At 45.8% G+C, this 19896-nt stretch overlaps 1 long non-coding RNA gene across 1 annotated transcript, besides 1 other annotated feature; it reads left to right on the top strand.

Annotated features, from left to right (window-relative positions):
- The first annotated feature begins 736 nt into the window (after positions 1–736).
- On the top strand, positions 737–19347 carry LOC105372568 (uncharacterized). Its single transcript, XR_937351.2, has 3 exons — positions 737–817; positions 18407–18654; positions 19150–19347. It is a non-coding gene; the product is annotated as an uncharacterized LOC105372568 (long non-coding RNA).
- Positions 16809–17309: an enhancer, noted in NCBI's record as "H3K4me1 hESC enhancer chr20:22802482-22802982 (GRCh37/hg19 assembly coordinates)". NCBI's record gives its function as "activates a minimal SCP1, AML or CMV promoter by ChIP-STARR-seq in naive H9 embryonic stem cells {active_cell/tissue: H9 hESC(naive)}" and the evidence as "EXISTENCE:reporter gene assay evidence [ECO:0000049][PMID:30033119]".
- Positions 19348–19896: the final 549 nt, after the last annotated feature.

A 19896-nucleotide genomic window follows, 5' to 3' on the forward strand; every position in this document is an offset into this window, starting at 1 on the left:
CTGGGTGACATCAGATTTGACTGTTTTGTGTGATACTGAGCAAGTCAGTGAAGCAGTCAGTCAGAACTCTCACTTGAGTGGCCCTCTCAGTTGTGTTTTCTGCCTGGAGAGAGATGTGGGCATCCTTTGCACCAGAGTTTTGGGAAGGGCGGGGCTGTATCCATTGCAGGTGAGGGGCAGTCGTCACTGATGTAAAGCAGAAAAAGTGGTCAGGCAGCTGGAAAGAGCCAGGGCAGATGCAGGAGATTAGCAAGAGGCATGGTGGACAGGTCGAGATGGAGATGAATAATTGCTAAGGCAGCACAGAAAGGGCTGGGCGAAGGCAGAGTCAGCTGCGAGAACTGCTGTGGCTTGCCAAACAATTCCAGTAAGCTGAAGCCACAGGCAAGGGAGAATCTGAGGTCAAGTGCTGAGACAGCACCATGGATAGCTCTCCTGGGTACAGGGGCTTGAAAGAATGTGTTAAGAAGGATTCTGAGGCTGTGACTGAGCCAAGAAGGCAACACTGCTATGACTGACTAATGACGCCTGCCATGGACATGTGAGGGGGGATGTGGTGGAAGGTTTGCAGTGTGCTGGCCTGTCCCGATATAGGCTGAGTCTTGATCCACCAGAAGGCTTTCTGCACATCAGCCAGTTTTCGTGGTGAAGATTTGGGTCTCGGAATTCTCCTGTATGCTTATGATTCTTACCATCAACTTGTTTCCTTGGTAACCCACTCCTGCTGTCTTGATGATGGCTTCCTGTGGTCAGGAGACTTCTGGCTGGAGGCTTGACCCCACTTTTCCTGATGAATGACCTTTAGAGGTGGCTCCAGGTATTGCTTCCTAAACCTGAGTAACCATGACAACCTCTCTAATTCCGGAGCTCAACTGTAGACACCTAGACTATAATTCTGGGCAACTTTGTGTCTTATACAGGTCTGAGGGCTAGAGATCAGAGTGGACACATGGTTCACCATGTAGAACTGTCATCTTGTAAAGACCTTCTGTGACCTCCGGGACTTTGCATGGGTACTCCTATCATGGGTGTGCAGCCTGGGGATGTGTGCTGTGTGTCATATATTTTTCTGAACCACAGCCATGGTGTTTTTGGCTCCAGCACACATCACAGGAAGACTTCTGTGCAGGGCAGTGTGACACAAACACATTCAGAGCAGTCTGTTGCTGGAGAAGGTTTATCTCCTTGGCTTTGAAACGCTTGCAGCCTTTCAGCCCCTAAAAGCATTTAGAAGCAGGATGTGGATGATTTTCCATATTTCTAAAAAGACTCTTTCTCCTCTTCTCCAACAGTTGCCACTATCAATACTGATGGGAAACTTTCCAGCCCAGGCTAGGGACCTCGCTTTCCTTTCCTGCCATCTCCTTGTTCTTAGCCCACAGCATCCAAAGACAGATGATTTTCTTGGCCATCCCAAGTAAACATAGTGATAGGAGAACTGGATTTTTTTGAGGACCCATTCCTTCAACACTTGTCTATAACAATATACTCTGGAGACCCTAACCCTATCTTCGGCGGCTGAGGACTAACTGCCAGCAACTGGCACGTTGCATAGGGCAACCTGTGCTTTCAGTCTGTCCTGCCCTTGAGTCATTTCTTCACCTTTAACTGTCTGATTCTTTGTAGTGCTCAGGGCTTTCTGCTGGTAGCTGGGAAAGTAGCTACTAATTGTCCATGCTTAGATGCTATTGACAGAAGGTGTAACATCTCCCAGGACTTTGGATTCTGAAAAGGAACTTGATAAAAACTAAATGTCTGATAGTAAGTATTCCAGTTCAATGGCACTTGACGGTAAGAAGGTTCCCTTGCTCCTGTCAAATTACATGTGTAGAGACTGCAGTCACACTCTGTGGATCTGGACACTCCAAGCATCATATTCACTGAGCATCTCCACTGTCTGAGCCCCTGGTCAGGGCTCACTCTTTCATCCAATAATCTTAAAACTCCGTTGAGGCAGAAGCCATTATCATTATTTTTCAGATGAAATAAGTGCACCCTAGTGGACTTAAATGACTTCTGCACAGTCACACAGCTACTGGGTGCAGAATTAGAGCTCACACTCAGGTTTCTGATGCACACATCGGCGATGACTGTATCTTGCAATAATAGTGGCTATGAACTCTCACCCAGAGCCACTTCTGTGCAGGTTCCTCCCTGCCCTCTACCTCGTCTTTCTCCCCAGCTCTCCCTGTCCTCCACAGGGGAGACTAGCAGGAGTTAAGCTTTAATCATTTCTGATCCCCAACTACTGACACATACCAAGCCCTTGGTAAATATTTGCTGAATAAAAAAATATTAGAACCTGGTTAGCACACATGTTTCCTCAGGCTACTGTAACAAACTGCCACAAATCTGATGACTTAAAGCAACAGGAGTTTATTCTCTAAGTGTCCTGGAGACCAGAAGTCCAAAATCAGTTTCACTGGGCCAAAATCAAGGCGCTATCAGGGCTGTGCTCTCCCTGGAGGCTCCAGGAGAAAATCTGTTCTGTTAAAAGAAAAATATTTTACAAATTAAATTCAACAGTTTAATTGAGCAAAGAGCGATTCTCCAATCAGGAAGCCTGCAGAACAAGAAGAGGTTGAGAGTGATTCCTGGAACTGCCACATGGTTGGATAACATCTGTGAACAGAAAAAGAAAAGTGAGGCACAGAAAACAAAAGTGAAGTACAGAAAAAAATAGCTGGATTGATTACAGCTCTGTGTTTGCCTAATTTAACATGGTTTGAACAGTTGGTAGCCTGTAATTGGCTGAGACCCAACTGCTGTGATTGGCGAAGGCTTGGCTGCTGTGATTGGCTGAGACTCAGATGCTGTGATTGGCTGAGACTCGGATGCTGTGATTGGCTGAGACTCGGATGCTGTGATTGGCTGAAACTAGCTACTTGATACAAGAACAAGTTGCCGTTTGTTTACACATCCAGTTAGGTGACAGTTCAATGTGTACAGGGAAACCTTTTGGCTGAACTTAAATATGTGAGGAGGCAGCTTTAGGGGAAACTTAATGTAACAGATTTTTTGCCTCTTCCAGCTTCTGGCAGCTGCCAGCCTCCCCTGGCTTGTGTCCATATCACTCCATTCTCTGCCTTTATGGTCACGTGGCCTCTGTCTCTCTCTCATTAGGATACCCGTGATTGTATTGAGAGCTCACATAAATAATCCAGGATAATCTCCCATCTTAAAATCCTGAATCACATCCACAAAGACTTTGCCATATAAGGTGACACCAGTTTAGGGCATAGACACCTTGGAGGGACCTCATTCAGCCTATGGCACAAGTCATTCCAGCCTTTAGAAGCATCAGTTTGAGGCTGGGGGTGCTAGCTTAGTGCCCCTCATTTTATGGGTGAGATCAGTGTTCACACTGGAAGGCACTGATTGAGAATCACACCTTTCAAAGGGAGGAGCTGCCTGCAAGTCAACCACCTGGACCTTCAGTGGAGCAGCATACTCACCCTCATGAATCTATTCAGTCTCTTCACCACCTCCAGCCTGGATGTCCCCTTATCCACCAGTGGGAATAATATGAATGCCTGTCTCCTAGCTTTTCTGTAAGGATTATGTGACAGGGCTCATGTGAAGTGCCTGGGATACATTTGGATGTCTTAGAACATTAGCTACAATCACTGCTTTTCTTGTTGGCTAAGTTCCCTTGGAACTTAAGGGTCTATGAGATGAATCCGTGCTTTTCAAAGGCTTCCTAAGTACTCACTAATTACTCAGCAGTATCCCTGGCAGGCCAATGGCTCAGGAGTGAGTGAAAATAAAAGGCAAGAGAAACTTCCTTTGTGGTCATATTTATCCTTTGATGACTTTGGATTTACTCTGACAGAGCCACTTGGGCATGTGAGATGCTTTCCTCCTCACTGGGAGCCAAGTAGGTGGAAGATAGGGCAGGAAGTCTGTTTCAGTTCTTCTAAGTGACCAAGAGTAAATCCCTTGAACATTAGTGCACTTTCGAAAAGGCTCAATTCTTCCCATTTGCCCTGAGCTGTGCGGTGTTCATTCTTTCCCCTCTGTAGGCCAAAGTTGGAAAGTTCTTCCTTAATGGCCTGGCTCAGAGCGAATCTAACACATCAGTTGTTACTTAAAACTAAATAACTAAAAGATAATGAAAGCCTTCACTATGGATATTTAAATCCCTCCCAGCTGCAATCTGCAGTTCTCACTGTGTGCCCTTTGGAATGGTGATGAGCAGTTCCTTCAAATGTCGCTGTCATGGCTGGACCAAGAAGAGGCCCCCTGTGCAGCCACTTTTGCCAGTAGAGTTGTCATGGACCCTTGTCAGGCCTCGCTTTCAAAACCGTCATCGTGGCCACATGGAGTAGCCATAACCTTATTTGCTGTAGCCAATGCAATGTGAATGGAAGTAGCTGAAGCAGAGATGTGCAATGCACCTGTGCAGGTGCGATCAGCCCCTAGGCTCCTGCCATCACATAAGAAGCATGCCCTCAGGGTGGATCCCCAAACAGAGCAGACCCAAACCCACCCACCTGCAGCCTGGAGAGGCGCACGGCTGAAGTCAGCCAAACTCAGCCAAGAAGAGCCACACTTTTGAGCTGGGAATCAGAAAAAGAAGTGTGTGCTGCTGTAGTCACTGAGATGTTGATGTTCTTGGTTACACAGCAAAACATGATTAGCACAGAGTCTTCCTCCCCTTGGTCTGTGGCTGCCTGAGAAGAGGCCCCACACCTACCCAACAGGTGCCAGGACTAGAATGGACACTGAAATAGTCATCAAAAACAGCACTGAGAGAGAAAAGTTTAGATTGGACTCAATCTTAAATGAATTTTCCTTAAATGAATCCCATGAGCCTGTGACAGGCAGTCCTGACAGAGCTGGTGAAGGGAGAGCTGGAAGTCTCATCAATCCATAATTGATGGTGTGGGATCAGCTGTAGCTATTTCTGTGATCTCATATTGCAGATCTCATGCAGAGATGCTTGATTCAGCCATACGGGTTCAGAACACCCATCTGACCCCAAATCAGACCTGTGATGCCCATTTCTCCTTCCAGCTCTATCTATGAAGTGGGCTCAAAGTTGGGTCATAAACTGGGTGGCCTTAGTTGTAAGGTTTCCTGGGACTCGTGCAAGCTGTCCGGGAGAGGAGATCATGCCAGGAAGAGCCACGCCAGGACAAAGGTCATGGACTGGCTATTGGAGAACACCCAAAATTGGGGTTGAAGTTATGGTGGGCGACCATTATGAGAGGCATGAGATACAGCAGGGGCCTTTTGTCAGGCCCAGTACTTCCAGGCCGGTGGGTGGAATTGCCTGGTTCAAGAAGGGGCAGGAGGGCGGGTTGTGGCTGTCCACTGGAGCAGCCTTCAGTGTGGGCAGCTGGAGAGTTTGATGCTCGGTGGAGTTGGATGAAAAAAGAGGAAACCTAGTTCGATTTCCTGGGAAAGGGAGTTCCAAAGCTTGTCAGGAATAACAAAGAGGCACAGTCCAAGCTCAAAGGCTAGAAGTTTGGCAGGAAACAGGGGTTCCAGGAGAAGCCCAGGAAATAGGCTGGGTAAGCAGTGGGGGCTAAGAGGAGAATGCAGCTGGGGGACACAGTTGGGCCCAGGATGGCTTGGACCTGTCTGGCCCAGACACATCCATAACCCCCAGGCCCCATTGTTTCTCATCAACCCCTGAGGATATAGAATAAGCACATCTGAGTGTCAGAGCAGGGCAGATCGGACTCAGGTTACACGGGCAGGTGTTGGCCCACGTTGTCTGGGCTCCACTGAAGGCTGTGTTTCCAGTTGCTGTGGAGCCCCGACAGCTGATGCCCATGGTGGGCTGGAGTCTGCACAGGACTTTCTGATCCAGCAGCACCTCCCACCTGGCGTCTCTCCTCACTTTCACTAGTAACCCCTTCTGCCCCTTCTTGGCCTTCTTCATAGCACTTGCCATGCTTAACAATTCTACACTTGTCCAAGAGGGGAATTATATGTGTTTTGGTTCCTATTTCAGCCCCAGGGCCTGACACGTGGCCTGGCTCAGAGTGAACTCTTGAGAAACGTTAGTACACTGAAAAACAATGAAAAAAAAAAAAGAATGAAGAAAGAAGAGTCAAGGCAGATCAACCAGGATCGACGCATCTGTGTCCCTCAAGTTAATGACATTTGATAAACAACTTCTTTGTCTGTTCCTTCCCTTTGTCTGTAGCCCAGGAGACACAGTGACAGAAGGACAATGCCTGGGCCTGAGCTGGGGGCTGCATTCCATTGCTGCCTCTTCCTGGCACAACCTATAATTGTTCTAACCCAGCAGAACTTCCGTGTTTGCATTTGTCTTAATGGGAGTAATAACAACAACTTCACAGTGCAATAAATAAATAATGGATATAAAGTGAGGTGCTTGTCACACGGCCAGAGATAAGTAAATTTTTGCTTCCTCTTGCACTTTGTCAAGGTTTAGTTTCTTGCTTGAAGGTAACAGAATTCAACTTTAAGCAAACTTAAACAGCAGAGGGAATTTATAGGTAGAGTCCTAGGGTGTGTCATAAAGTCCAGGGAGCCTCTGAAAGCCAGGTTCAGGAGGGACCATGAGCTGCTCTGGAGCTGGAGCAGTAGGGACGCCTAGGCCTTCACTTAAGTGTGGTGGTGACTTGCATTTGGTTTGACCAAGGAGAATACTGACTGGTTCTTGAGTCGGGTGCACTCCCCCTCTTGGTCTGATCATGGTCAAAGGAGCAGGGTCTCTTAGAATGAACAGGGAATGAAAGCCAGAAGCACCTCTTTCATGGGAGAAGTTGGTTATGCTCAAAGAACAGGGGTAGGACATAAACAGGTGGTCTGTTTTAGTTATACTTTTCTGAGTCAGTTCTTCTACGAGATTGTCCTGGAGTCACCCAGCTGGTGACATTAGTTATCTCCCTAGCAACGCTTTATTCTTCACTTTGGGCACTTAATGCCATTGCTTGTAACTTGGTATGTGTCTGTTCTTCTCCTCCCTATGCCTCTGCATCCCTCAAATGTATGTATCTGTTCTTCTCCCCATGCCTCTGCATTCTTCAAATGTAGGGGCCTTGTCTGATTATCTCCTTGTATCTCCATGATAAGCAAAGTGACCAGCACAAAATGTAGGGGCCTTGTCTGATTATCCCTTTGTATCTCTATAGTAAGCAAAGTGACCAGTACATAATGGGCTTGATGACTGTGTGTGCTTGGCTGAGTAAGTGGTCATATGCAGACAGGAATAGAGGAGTAAACGCTCCAAGAGAAACATAAAGAAGCCCTACCCCTTAGTGTTTTACAACCCTGACCACTGGAGCCCCTAGCATTAAAAATAACTAATCTATTCATTCATCTTTTTCATACAGGGTGGGATCACATGCCTACTATGTGCTAGGTGCTGCCAGGCCAGGATCTTGCTTCCTTGATCTACAGACTAAGGTCTAGTCTGAAAGGGGTGTCCTTCAGGAGATAGGTTAACATCCAACACATTGGATGTGGTGATTGAATTCAACTTTCTTTCTACTTCCCCGAGTAATTGAATAAGTATTTCTTACTTAACAGCAGTACTAGTAATAGAAGAACTTGTTTTGGTCCAGCTTTTAAAAGACAATTCATTCCCTGTGTTTTACTCTGGCATTTAGATCAATTATGTTGTGTCATTGCAAATTGTACAATTGCATAGTTTTCCAAGGTTTGAGCCAAATATTTTTTAAAAATTGCTGATTTGATAATTGAATGCCAGGAACTGAGGAGTCCTAGTAATCCTATTTCATGAGACTTCAGATGGCAGATTTTTCTAAGGGGCTATCATTTGACAATAAATGAATGTTTCATTGGATCTGTTGGAATTGTTTTTCTTTGAAAGTTAATTCATGGGTTTAAGCCCCTGCTGCTTTCCCTCCACTTCAGACCCCAGAAGTTATGTTGGATTCGGTTTTTCCACTCCTGGGAAGAAGCACTCTCAATTTTAAAGTCAAGGCATTATTTCTTCTTTTAAACACAGAAAGCGAATGGTAATTTACATTTTTGCCACAAGTGAGAATCAATAGGAATAAACTAAATGTTGATAAACTGACAGTAAATTTTGTGTTAAAGTTATTCTGTCACTATTAAAACAACTTTGCACTGGAAAACATAAAGTATCCAAGCCTGCTTCTTTTTCGTCAGGTAAATTGTGGGTAGTGCCATTCTTTGGTCTGTAAGCCCACAGACTCAGACTACGAGATCAAGTTTAAAATGTGTCCAAACTCCATATAATCTTCTCCCACTATCCCCTCTCTTGTCCCAGTGAAGAGGAGGGTGTATTACCACATGCGTAATAGATGAGCAACCCAAGTCATTGCTTTCTGCCTGGGATGGATGGATGACCCAGGAGCTGAATGCCAAGCCCTCAAAAATATTATACCATCAACAATGGGACAAATCAAAATTGTCCACCACATGAAAAGATGAGGTGAGGATCAGCATTATTTCCCTGGAATTCCTGTCAATGATGCATAATCTGAATATAATCCCAAGGAAACATCAGACAAATTTGAAATGAGGGGCATCCTACCATGTAACTGGTCTGACCTCTTCAAACTCATCAAGTTCATGCAAGTCAAAAACGACGAAGGACATTTCACAAGTTGAAAACACCAAAAGATATGTGACAACTAAATGTAGTTGGTGATTCTGATCTGTATCCCTTTGCTACAGAGTACTTTAGTTGGACATCTGAATGGAGTTCAACTCTAAGGTGATAGGAAGGCGTCAATGCTGATTTTCTGATTTGATGGTTGTATTGTGGTTATGAGAGTGGTGGAAGCTGGTATGGTGTCATGTCTGCAACTTACTCTCAAATGGTTCAGGGAAAGAAGTCTTCTTAGATTTGCCCTTGAAACTTTTCTGGAAACTTCAGATTGCTTGCACATTAAAAAATAATAATAGTAAGACCTGGGTTGAGGCCGTCTGAGACCATCCTGGCCACATGGTAGTCCTTCCTCCCCACCAACCAATAGGCACAGCATGGTGCAGCAGGCTGCCCATGTTCACTAAGCATTGATCCAGTTCTTCAGTCTCTTTAGTTAGGCTAAATATAATCCTTTATATATATTTATTCATTGCTATTATTTAATAGCTAAGTACCATTCCCCAAACAACCCCATGATTTTATCAACTGGAGAGCTGATAGTTTGGAGCACAAAAGCAATATCAGCTGTACAATGATGAACCAGCACACCGGTATCACAATGTTCAAGCCTCTCATTTTACAGGTGAGGACAGGAAGGCAGGCACAGAGCAACAGGGAGGAGCCCGAGCTCACCCTCAATGTCCTCCCTCCTGGGCCAGTGTGCTCACCGCTGCTGTCTCCCTGCATTTCTTGCAAGGAACAGACACTTTAACATTGGCCTTGGCTTGGCTTTTCTCCCTGTGGCTTTGGGGGATAAAAAATAAAACTAAGCTCTAAGGTGGGTAGCCAGAGAGCACTCTCAAGGCTTCAACTAAACAGGAGGGCACTAATGGAAATAGAGGGGTGAGACAGAAAGAGCAAAAGAGCAAAGAGAAATTGAATATATTTTGATTGCTTTTTCTTTCACCTAGTTGTAATGGAAGACTGTGCTTGTGGGAAGCCCAGAGAGAGTGGTTCCTGGAACGGGTGTAGCTTTGTGGTTAAGAGTTTGAACTGTGGATTTAGGTTTCAACATAAACACAGGTCCGGTGAATAGCAAGTAGCCCGCATGCAGCTGGGGTGGACCTCGTCAGTCCAGATTGAAGACCTCATACCCAGTCTGAGAGACTGACGCTCCATGCTGCCAAGGGCAGGCAGAGGAGGAGGCAAATTCATGTGTGCATCCCAGTGTCCCTGCTTATGACATTGTTATAAACACTTCAAAGCATGACAGAACATGAAGATGGCAATGCACTTTGTGAAACAAGTGTCGCACATGTACCTGTTCTGCAGTAACATAAAAATAAATTTTAAATAACAAAGAGACCTGCATGATGTTTTCTTGTAGGCACGGGCAGTTGGAGGACAGTGAGGAAGCAGCTGGAGGAGATGGGAAGGTGCAGGTTTGCCCACGTGATCTGCAGCACACAAGATCTGTGCCAGGGACTGTGGGGCACTGATGACAATGTGGCCCTTCATCACCAAGGAGCTGGCTGGGCCTCGTGAGAGCTGGTGGAAAGAAAGCAGGATGTCTCTGGCCCTCCTGTCTTCCTAGACTTGAAGAAAACAAGAAACAGAGTCAAGAAATTAGGAAAATGGAAAAAGATCTGAACACAACATCTGAAGAAAGGCTGCAAAACGCAGGGAAAATTAGATGCAGGTGAGAAAGACTGTGTGATGACAAGACTGGCCTCCAGAGGTCTTGGAGCCAGCAAGGCACCTTGTTCTCCCATCAGTGCACACTCTCGGGGCAAACAGTCCTTTGCTGGAAACAAAAGCTCCAGGTCGTTCAGGCCAGGGCTGCAGAAAATTCTAAGAATTATTCTGGATGCCACTGGGAGGCAGGAAGGTGGCATTGAGTGAGGGAACTTGCAGCTTCACCGTCTTTGAGATAAGCATGCACGTGGGGTGGGGAACCCAAGGGGAAGAATGACTGTCATTGGAAGGACCCCTAAGGCTGCTGGTGTTGGTCAGTAAAAAAGAGAAGGTGAAACCACCGCACAAAAACCTGGGACCTACAGGCTTCAGAATTAGCCTATAAATTTACTCTTGCCCTGAATAAAGATGGTAAAGGAGAGAGCAAGAAACTAAAATCCAGCATCCTCCCTCCACAGGAATGGCTGAGGGCTGCCAGCCACATCACACTCAGCCACCAGGGGCTCAAGTCCTCAGTGCCAAAGGAGGCTCTGGGAGGCAAAGCCAAGAGTCTTCCACAATGAGGGATGTGGCAGAAGCAAGTCCAGTAAAAGAAAAGCAACTAAGGCTTTTACTTTTTTATGCGAAGAAACATTTTATAGTTTTATTTGAAGAAAGGAAGTGGATTCTCCACACAGCATGTTAAGCACACGCACAGCAGCCAGAAAGCTGAAGAACTGACAGGAAATATGTGCGGCTAGATCAGGTCCTATGGAAAACCTGGCCAGCCTCTGGATGAGGAACTCACTGGGGAAAATGAAAGAGTTTTAACGTGTATTCCAACTACTGACAGTCGAATTGTGTACACTTGGACCATGTCTACTCTGCTAAATGTAACAAGGGAGGAAACAGTCCTGCGGGTTGAAATGAGATTCCTTGGTCCACTGCTCATGAACAAAGTCTCCATGGATTTGGAAATGATGCCATTGTCTCTGGATTACCGCTGAGTCCTATGGAGAGTTGAGGAAACAAGGTCCTGAGCCCGAAATGCTTCCATCTTGATAATACTTTGCAATTCACACTCTTTAATATGAGAAATAGAAATGACTCTAATTTGGAAGATGCAAAAAGCAAGGAGATAAATTAGGATAAAAACTAGATTTGGGTTAACAGTGCAGATAAAAGAGGAATAAAATAAAAAGGCATGGCAGTTTATTAGCTGTCCAGCAGCTGCAGCTCACTTTGATGAGCCAAGAAAAGAACTTAAGGAATATGAACCAGTTATTAGAGAAAAGCACCACATCAGCTTTAGTTAGCAAGAATGAAAGACTGGCTAAAAGACAGAGGAAGGGAAATGCAAATGGACCCTCATTAGTACTTGGCTCAAGTTTGGAGTATTTAAAACTCTTTTGAGACCCAGATAAAAATATTTAAAAAACAAATAGGAAAGGGAGAGCACAACATTCAATTGAGGTCACGCTTAAAGAGAGATAATTCACAGTGATTTAAATGAATGCTACACAAAACATGGGCCTGAATTTCATATATATATATATATATATATATATATATATATGTGCATGCTTTAAGTTAAAGTGAAAAAAGACCATAGCATTTTTCTTTATTTTTTTGAAAGAGAACCATATTTAATTTTATCTTAATGTATGGCAGTTTATTATATTATTTTTATTTTACTTTAAGCGATACATGTGCAGAACGTTCAGGTTTGTTAAATAGGTATACATGTGCCATGGTGGTTTGCTGCACCTATCAACCCATCATCTGGGTTTTAAGCCCTGCATGCATTGGGTATTTGTCCTAATGCTTTCCCTCCCTTCACCCACAAACCCCCAGCTGGCCCCGGTGTGTGTGATATTTCCCTCCCTGTGTCCATACACATGGACACACTGAACACTCTCATTGTTCAACTCCCACTTATGAGTGAGAACATGCAGTGTTTGGTTTTCTGTTCCTGTGTTAGTTTGCTGAGAATGATGGTTTCCAGCTTCATCTATGTCCATGCAAAGGACATAAACTCATTCTTTTTTATGGCTGCATATTATTCCATGGTGTATATGTGCCACATTTTCTTTATCCAGTCTATCATCGATGGGCATTTGGGTTGGTTCCAAGTCTTTGCTATTGTAAATAGTGCTGCAATAAACATATGTGTGCATGTGTCTTTATAGTAGAATGATTTATAATCCTTTTGGTATATACCCAGTAATGGGATTACTAGGACCTCAGCATTTTCAATATTTCAAGGACAACAGCTGATTTTCTTATGGCTCCAAGTAAGTTCACTAGTATTCATACACCAGTCCCAAAGTATACAGATAGACCAGCATAAAAATAATCTAAAAATTAGTGAAGCATAAGGGAGGTATATTAGCTAAAATATAGGTCTAGATGCTTTAAAACAGAGAGAGTAAGAGCAGCCTAAGTAAAACAGAAGTGTGTTTCTCTCTCAGACATAAGTCCAGATGAGTACGCGATCCATGAGAGCAGCATGACTCTGTTCCCCAAATGGTCCGGGAACTCAGACACTGTGTAGCCTTGCTCTCCTGTGCCCATGGTGTGCCTCCATCTTCATGGTTCAAGATGGCTCATGACTGAAATAGCTGAGTCCAGGTTGTGGAAAGGGCCAGGAAGGCTAAAAGAGAAGCAGTGTCCTTTTAAACGCACAACAAGGCAGTTGCACTTATCATTTCTGTTCATAGACCATTGGCCACAACTCAGTCACATGGAGCTACCAACATCTAGGACATGCAGTTCTGAGCCAGGTAACCATGTAATAAGACTGGGATAGAGGATAGAGGCACGTTCTCTTACTTAAAGAAAAAGGTGGCAGATGGATACTAGAAGTCAGTCGGCAGTGTGGGCACCCAGGTTCCTTCTAATGTCTTGCTCCACCAGCCCCCGAAGTGTTGCTGTAACTGCACAGTCTCATTCTAACTGGACCTACTCTGTCAATAGCAGGATTTTAAGTTATTGTACAGTTACAGAGCCAAGAAGTTGCAAGTTAGGCAGCCAAGACATGTGTAGTGAAAAAGCTCTGACCTGTAACAACACCCAGAGCCAACATATCCTCCTTGCAGAATCAAAAAGGCCAGGGCATGACCAGAATTTGAATGCTGGAACCCTTTCAGAAGTGAGGGATCCATTAACTGGGAAGATCCACTGCTGAAATCTACCATTCCATACCTTACCATAAATGGCCTAGTTTGAAGGCCTCCAAAAGAAACCTGCCCTACCAGCACTTCTGCACCTAAACCTGTCCTCCCTGACCCAGAAAACTTGTCCCGGACCTCAGACCAAGGAGAGAGATTTGAGCTGTGCCTCCTGTCTCCTTACCAGTTGACCTCGCACTAAAGCCTCTTTTTCTTCCTCCAAAGCCAGTACCATGGTAAAGGCTTCTATGCATGTCAAACGGTGAATGCATTGCTCAGTAATGGTGCTTCCATCACACGCTCAAAGCTGGCCCAGCATTGCCTTGTCTGTGCTCCAGCTAGTGGAAAGGGAAAGAGAATGTGCAGAGCAAACAGCTGCCTTTGAAGGACGAAACTAGGAAGTTGCACATGTTCTTGCTCATCAATTTCTTCTGCCAAATCTTAGTCTCATGGCCTCATCTACCTGCAAGTGAGTCTGGGAAACATCTGGGGACATGGGAGTTCTATGAATAACAGGGAGAAATGGAGAATAATTATTGCGAGATAAGTCAAAATCTCAAACACAAATAATTGAAAATGTAACTGCTGAGAGGGTGTTCAATCTACTTAAGATACTAACAAATTGCTCTTAGGTCCTAATAGACCCATGGTGCTTCTAATGAGAAGAATCTTTATTACTCAAATGTGTCGAGCTGGATTTCAAAGTTGGAAACATTTTGTGTGTTCTTAAGAAAGAATGATTTTTTTTTTTTTTAAGAAACAGTTTGTCATTTGGAAGGCATTTTCAGCAATTTTGTTCGAATTAGAGCGGCTTCACTGAAAGGGGCAGTGCAATTCCAGAACAGGGTTTCCCTGACTATGTTTTGTTTATGCCTTGTGAAATAATTTTGCAAAACAGATGCATAACCTCCTCCCCTTGACAGTTTCACAGAACATGTTGCACGTTAAAGCTCTTACAAGTGCTGCAGGAAAGAATCTGGCATACCTTTCCTAAGCCAGCCTAAGCCAAACTTACTTGATCATTGAGGCCCTTCTTACAATGCCCTTTTCACCCTCCAATGCAACTAGCACTTCATGGGGGCACATTTGGGGAAAGACTTTCTAGCATGGTAGGCATTGTAACAAACAAGCCATATACACGGTTTCTAAGTCATGGCCTGTCACTAAGAACATTGAGTCACATGGAGTGAGAATTGACTAACTGCAAGACCCTTGCGTACCACCCAAACTCCTTGGTATGTGATAAGAGGGAATTTGGCCAGATTACATCTAATACTAGGTATTAGAGATCATGTCCCTTCTTTTTCTGTTACTATGTATGAATAAACCGAAAGGATCATACTTTTAGGAAAAATAGTTTCTTGGGGCAAGAAATAAGTCTGCCCTTCATTGTAGCCCAGGGTCTTCCTTGCAACAGGCTTACGGTCTTAATAAATTGCTCTGAATGAGTGAATGAATGAGTGAAGGGGATCCTAAGAGATCAGGTGATCTCCCACCTTCAGAGAGATAGTACATGATTGATCCCCTACAGAGGGAGCCCCTGAGGTAGAAATGCCAGTGACTTACTCGGCCAGAAGGTGACAGGAAGGGGTGGGGGTTCCTGGTGCCTGCCTTGCCCCCAGGGCCCTGTCCTTCCTTCCATTCCATAGTGGTGGAATCTAGTTATACCATGGTTATGAAACAGGGCCAAGAAATAAAGGCTATACATGAAAGTAATTTGGAAAGACCAGTCTTTTTTTTCATTGCTGTTTGGATCAGAATTTAGCTGTGATGAGAAATCTTCATCTCGTCATGGGAAAATGCTCATTAGAATGTCAAGGGGTAAAAGCGAGATTCAAATCTATGGATGGGGCATATCATTTCACATTTGTGAAAAAATGTCCAGGCTATAGCTGTGTAGACATAGGCATGAAAAAAACTGGAAAGAAATATATAGATACACTATAATTTTTATCCCTGGAAGTAGGGTTATGAGTGACTCTATTATTATTATTTTATTCTTTTCAGTAAATAAACTAGATTTACCAATCCATGCTTATCAACACTGTCACAGTCACATTAACTTTTTGCCTCCAATCTGCTGGCCCAGTAGCCCCAGTGGTAGCCTTCATACCTGCTTGGCCCTGTCACCAGCAGCAGGCTGCCTCATGCAAGCAAGGAGGTTCTTTGTTTTCTTTCTTTTTGAGACGAAGTCTTGCTCTTTAGCCCAGGCTGGAATGCAGTGGTGCGGTCTTGGCTCACTGCAAGCTCCACCTCCCGGGTTCAGGCCATTCTCCTGCCTCAGCCTCCTGAGTAGCTGGGACTACAGGTGCACGCCACCACACCCGGCTAATTTTTTGTATTTTTTTTAGTAGAGACAGAGTTTCACCATGTTGCCCAGGCTGGTCTCGAACTCCTGAGCTCAGGCAATCCGCCTGCCTCGGCCTCCCAAAATGTTAGGATTACAGGCGTGAGCCACTGTGCCTGGCCTCATGTGAGGAGGTTCTGTGCAGTGGAGCCAGAATTGAAGGAGCAGTTGGCGGAAGCCCCTGCTGACCACACTCCTGTGGCTGGATGGCCAGTCCTTCCTCGAAGGAGACTCTCACCATGTGTGAGCTGATGACCCGCAGCCCCCAAGGCTAGCCCCCACCCACACACTATGGAGGGCTACATTGAAGTCTCTCACCTCCTCCCAGGGTAACAGATCGGCAAGTCCAGAGGTTGCAGTTACAGGCATATTCTTTTGAAAGCCTTTTGCCCCTTGCTGGATAGCTGGCCTTGACAGCAGAGACTGACTGACATGGCTGTACTGAGCTTTCTAGATTACAGCGAACTCTGATGCACACAATTTAATGGTGTCTTTTGTAGTGCTGAAAGAAGAGAATGTTTGCCTGCAGGCCGTTTGAACGTTCACACACTTAAAAAAAAATGTTGGTCTGTGGGCTTCTAATCAGGCAGGGAATAGCAGAAACGTCCTTCCCAGGAGTCTCTTAACTAAAGGGGGTGGTAAGAGGAACAGTTGGTATCAGTTTACATTTCCATGGGAGAATAAGAACACCCTGAAGCTAATCAAGAAGAGCTGTGCATGGGTGTGTGAGTGTGAATGCCTGTTTGTGCCTGAGGCCTGTGTCTGTGTGCATGGGCATGTTGCACGCATGTGCATGTGGACATTTCTGAGGCTCTCAGAGGATGAGCAAGGCTGTGGCTGTTTCCATTTCACAGGTTCCAAACGCATTTGAAAATGAACAAAATGAGGCTATAAAATGGGTGGCATATTTTAAATATTTACTTTGCACACATGTGAGGTTTTTACAGTGACCTGCATGGCCTCATTTGGAGCTAATGTAGAAAGTTTAAAATGCATAGCCTCCTAGGCAGAACAGCCCCATACACACAGCTGCTTCTGGCCCCTTCCACCTCAGGAAAGGGCCCGTGTGCCTGTGGGGCAAGAGAGACCATGTGCTGCAGGCTGCTTCCCCCAGAAGCAAGTAGGACAGCCACAGGCGTGGGAGAAGCCTTCTCAGAAACTCTGAGCCCTGACATATTTGCTGGGGTATTTCCCACCCTGGACTGACCCACATCTGCTTGGAGGGAAAGAAAAGACTAGATTGCATGATATAGACAATGTGAGTTTGACTTCACTGATCCCTGGAGGCTGGAAATTTTCCCTCTGGCAAGCAAGGTTAGGTCTAAAGGCTAAAACTCCCACAGTACCAGAACCAGGAGGCTGCCGGCTGCAGACAGCCCAGGAGCCCGGGGCATGGGAGAAAGCTTTCTGATTCATGAAGCATGAGATTTCATTAGGCTCATTGGAGTTACAGCCCGCCATGGTGGGTCCATGTCTGCCCTGTGGCCTGGCCCCACCATTCCAACAGGCGGCTACCAGCCTGCTGGAAGCCCAAGTGGAGTTCTGGTCAGCAGCACTGAAGGCTCCCAGGAAGGATGGGCGCTGGCAGGGCGTGGGACAGACCCAGTGTGGCCGGACATCCTGGGCCCAGTGAGGAAGGGAGGGGCTCCACTAGCAGTCTCACAATGACATGGGGCAGGGGTGAGGAAGGGGGAGAAGGGAGCTATTCTTTTATGCAAGTAGGTGGCATGTGGGCAGCCAGCAGAAACACAGGCAGGTGGGCTAGGGGAGACCAGGACAACGGGGGCATATATCAAGGTGTCCTAATCGAAGGGGACATGAGGTTGGGGGCCATAGGCCAGGGCTATGCCAGGTCCTCTCAGAGACCCTGACTAGAGCAGGCCCAGGACCAGGCAGGTAAAATTCAAAGGGATGAAAAAAAAAATGTGGGTCTCTGTATCCAGAGCTGGTCTCAGGTCAAGAAGAGGGCAAGGCCACCAGCCGCCCAGACTTACAGAACAGTTACAGGAAGAACACAGAGAGTTCCCAGATACCTTTCACTTGGAGACCCCAAATGTGAGCATTTTTACTCTCTGCTCTCTCTCTCTTTCCTCCCCTTTACGCCTAAAGACTTCAGTGTGTGTAAAAACAAGAACATTCTCTCACTTAACTACAAAAATTATCAAAATCAGAAAATTAAGGCCAATACAAACCTATTATCTAATCTACAGACCTTATTCAGATTTCACTGACTGCACCAGTAAAGTCCCTGGTGGAGGCGAAAGAAGCCGCAAGGTCATGTTGCACTTTGCTGACCTCTCCCTGGCCTCCCTTCACCTGGAGAACCCCTACCTTCCTTTATATTCCATGGCCCGGACATTTGACCACTCCAGGTTAGGTTCGTAGCGCGACCCTCAGTTTGGGCGGGCTGTTTTTAAATGTGCATCACAGGCAAATCCTCACTCCCTTTGCCAAAAGAAGCTGCCCTATTAAGCATGTGTCTTATTTAAATCTCAAGATGCTAGTTCTGTTTTGATAGATCAATAGGAACCACATTTGTTGGCAGGCCTGCTGTTCTGCGATTCATGTTTGTTAAAGCAACAGCAGCCTTTTCTCCCCTTTCTCTCTCTACTCAGAGAAGTGTTCTCTTTTTCTTGCCTTTGTCCCTCCATTCAGGCTGCTTGGGTGTGAAGACCCATGTCATCAGCAAAAGTGGGATCCCAGAGCCTACCTGCCATTCCCAGCAACAAGGATCATTCTGAATGATAATTAAGAATGTATTTTCCAACATGGAAGAATATCAGGCCTTCAGTAAGCGTGACTTGACAGCCCCCAGGGCGGCCCAGGTCTGAGAGCTGACAGTCATCAGAACCCCAGCACCACAGGGAGCTAAGATCACAGAGAAACCCTCAGAGCCGTGCATCGTAAGTAACGTGACCTCTGAAGCAATCAAGGAGTTGGTGCAAATCTGGTTTGCATTGCTGTGAGGGGGCTGGAGAATAAGTCAATGGGTAAAAATATTAGTCTGAATCACCAGCCCTTTTTACATAGGCCTTAGATTTGAGGTCAGCTTGAGCCTAAAATGTAAGCTCATTGGGCTTCATCCCTCGAGCCCTTCCTCTTCCTCCCTGGCTCATCCACCTCCTCAGTTCAAATCCATGAAACACAATTCAGTTCCAGCAATATGTGTTGAAGACACTTCGGTGCTGGGCTGGGCCAGGTGGTGCCTGCCTACGGCACAGCAATACCTCCAGCCTCAAAGCCACTGCACCACATGCATCTCTTCTCCTGTAGCTGCCCAATGCATTTATGTGTAGGTCCTTTTCCCCCAGGCTTCTGCTTCCTGATAAAGGAGAGGAAGAGGCCAGTCGAGTTGTATTCTGGAAATACTTTGCCTTTGTTCTTCTCCTTCCTGGTAGCTTCTTGAATCAATCCCTTCGCTTTCTTCCACCAAGCCAGAAAGCAGCCTCAGACTCTGAGCAGCCACTTCCAGTCCCTTGGGGCAGACACCCACGCAGAAGCCTGCTTGCATTTCTGTCCTGGGAGTGGAGAGAAGAGAGCCCTGTGGCTGTGTAGCCTGGCAAGGCTTTGTGGAAGAGGGGGCCCAACTTCACCTTAAAGAATGGGTGAGTTTGAGGGGCTCTCACAGAAATGGGAGGGGACTGGTATGGGTGACCTTGATTTGGGTCCACACAGACATCTCTTGGAGCCAACTATATGCTTTGAGCCAACTATAATGCTTCTTTTTTCTCTTCCTCCTTTAAGACACCTGGGTATACAGTGATTACAGGTTTAGTGGTAGGAGACTAAATTCTTTGCAACCTGGATTTCTATGTTCAACCTTGCAGCAGAATCTTTGCAGGTCAGAAAGAAAGGAAATAGCGGATGCTGCCTGGCGCTGTCCACATCCCTCAAATTCTCAGAGGTAACCTGAGACATCCCTGTACATGCCAAAGGTGTTCTCTGGCCTCCACGTGGATGGGCCACAAGTGACTGGGGACCTACCCCCACCTCCTGTAACAGTGCTCAAACAATGAGGATGGGTGAGACCCTGACTTCCTCACCCCTCCTTTTGGTGGGACAACTCTAAGTCATGGCATCTGCACAGCCACTCTGTAGCCTCAGGTGACCATGGAAGTAGCAGCTCATCCACCCCATTTTATTTA

The sequence above is a fragment of the Homo sapiens genome, chromosome 20 (genome assembly GCF_000001405.40).
Source record: "Homo sapiens chromosome 20, GRCh38.p14 Primary Assembly".
In the NCBI taxonomy this organism is placed as follows: domain Eukaryota; kingdom Metazoa; phylum Chordata; class Mammalia; order Primates; family Hominidae; genus Homo; species Homo sapiens.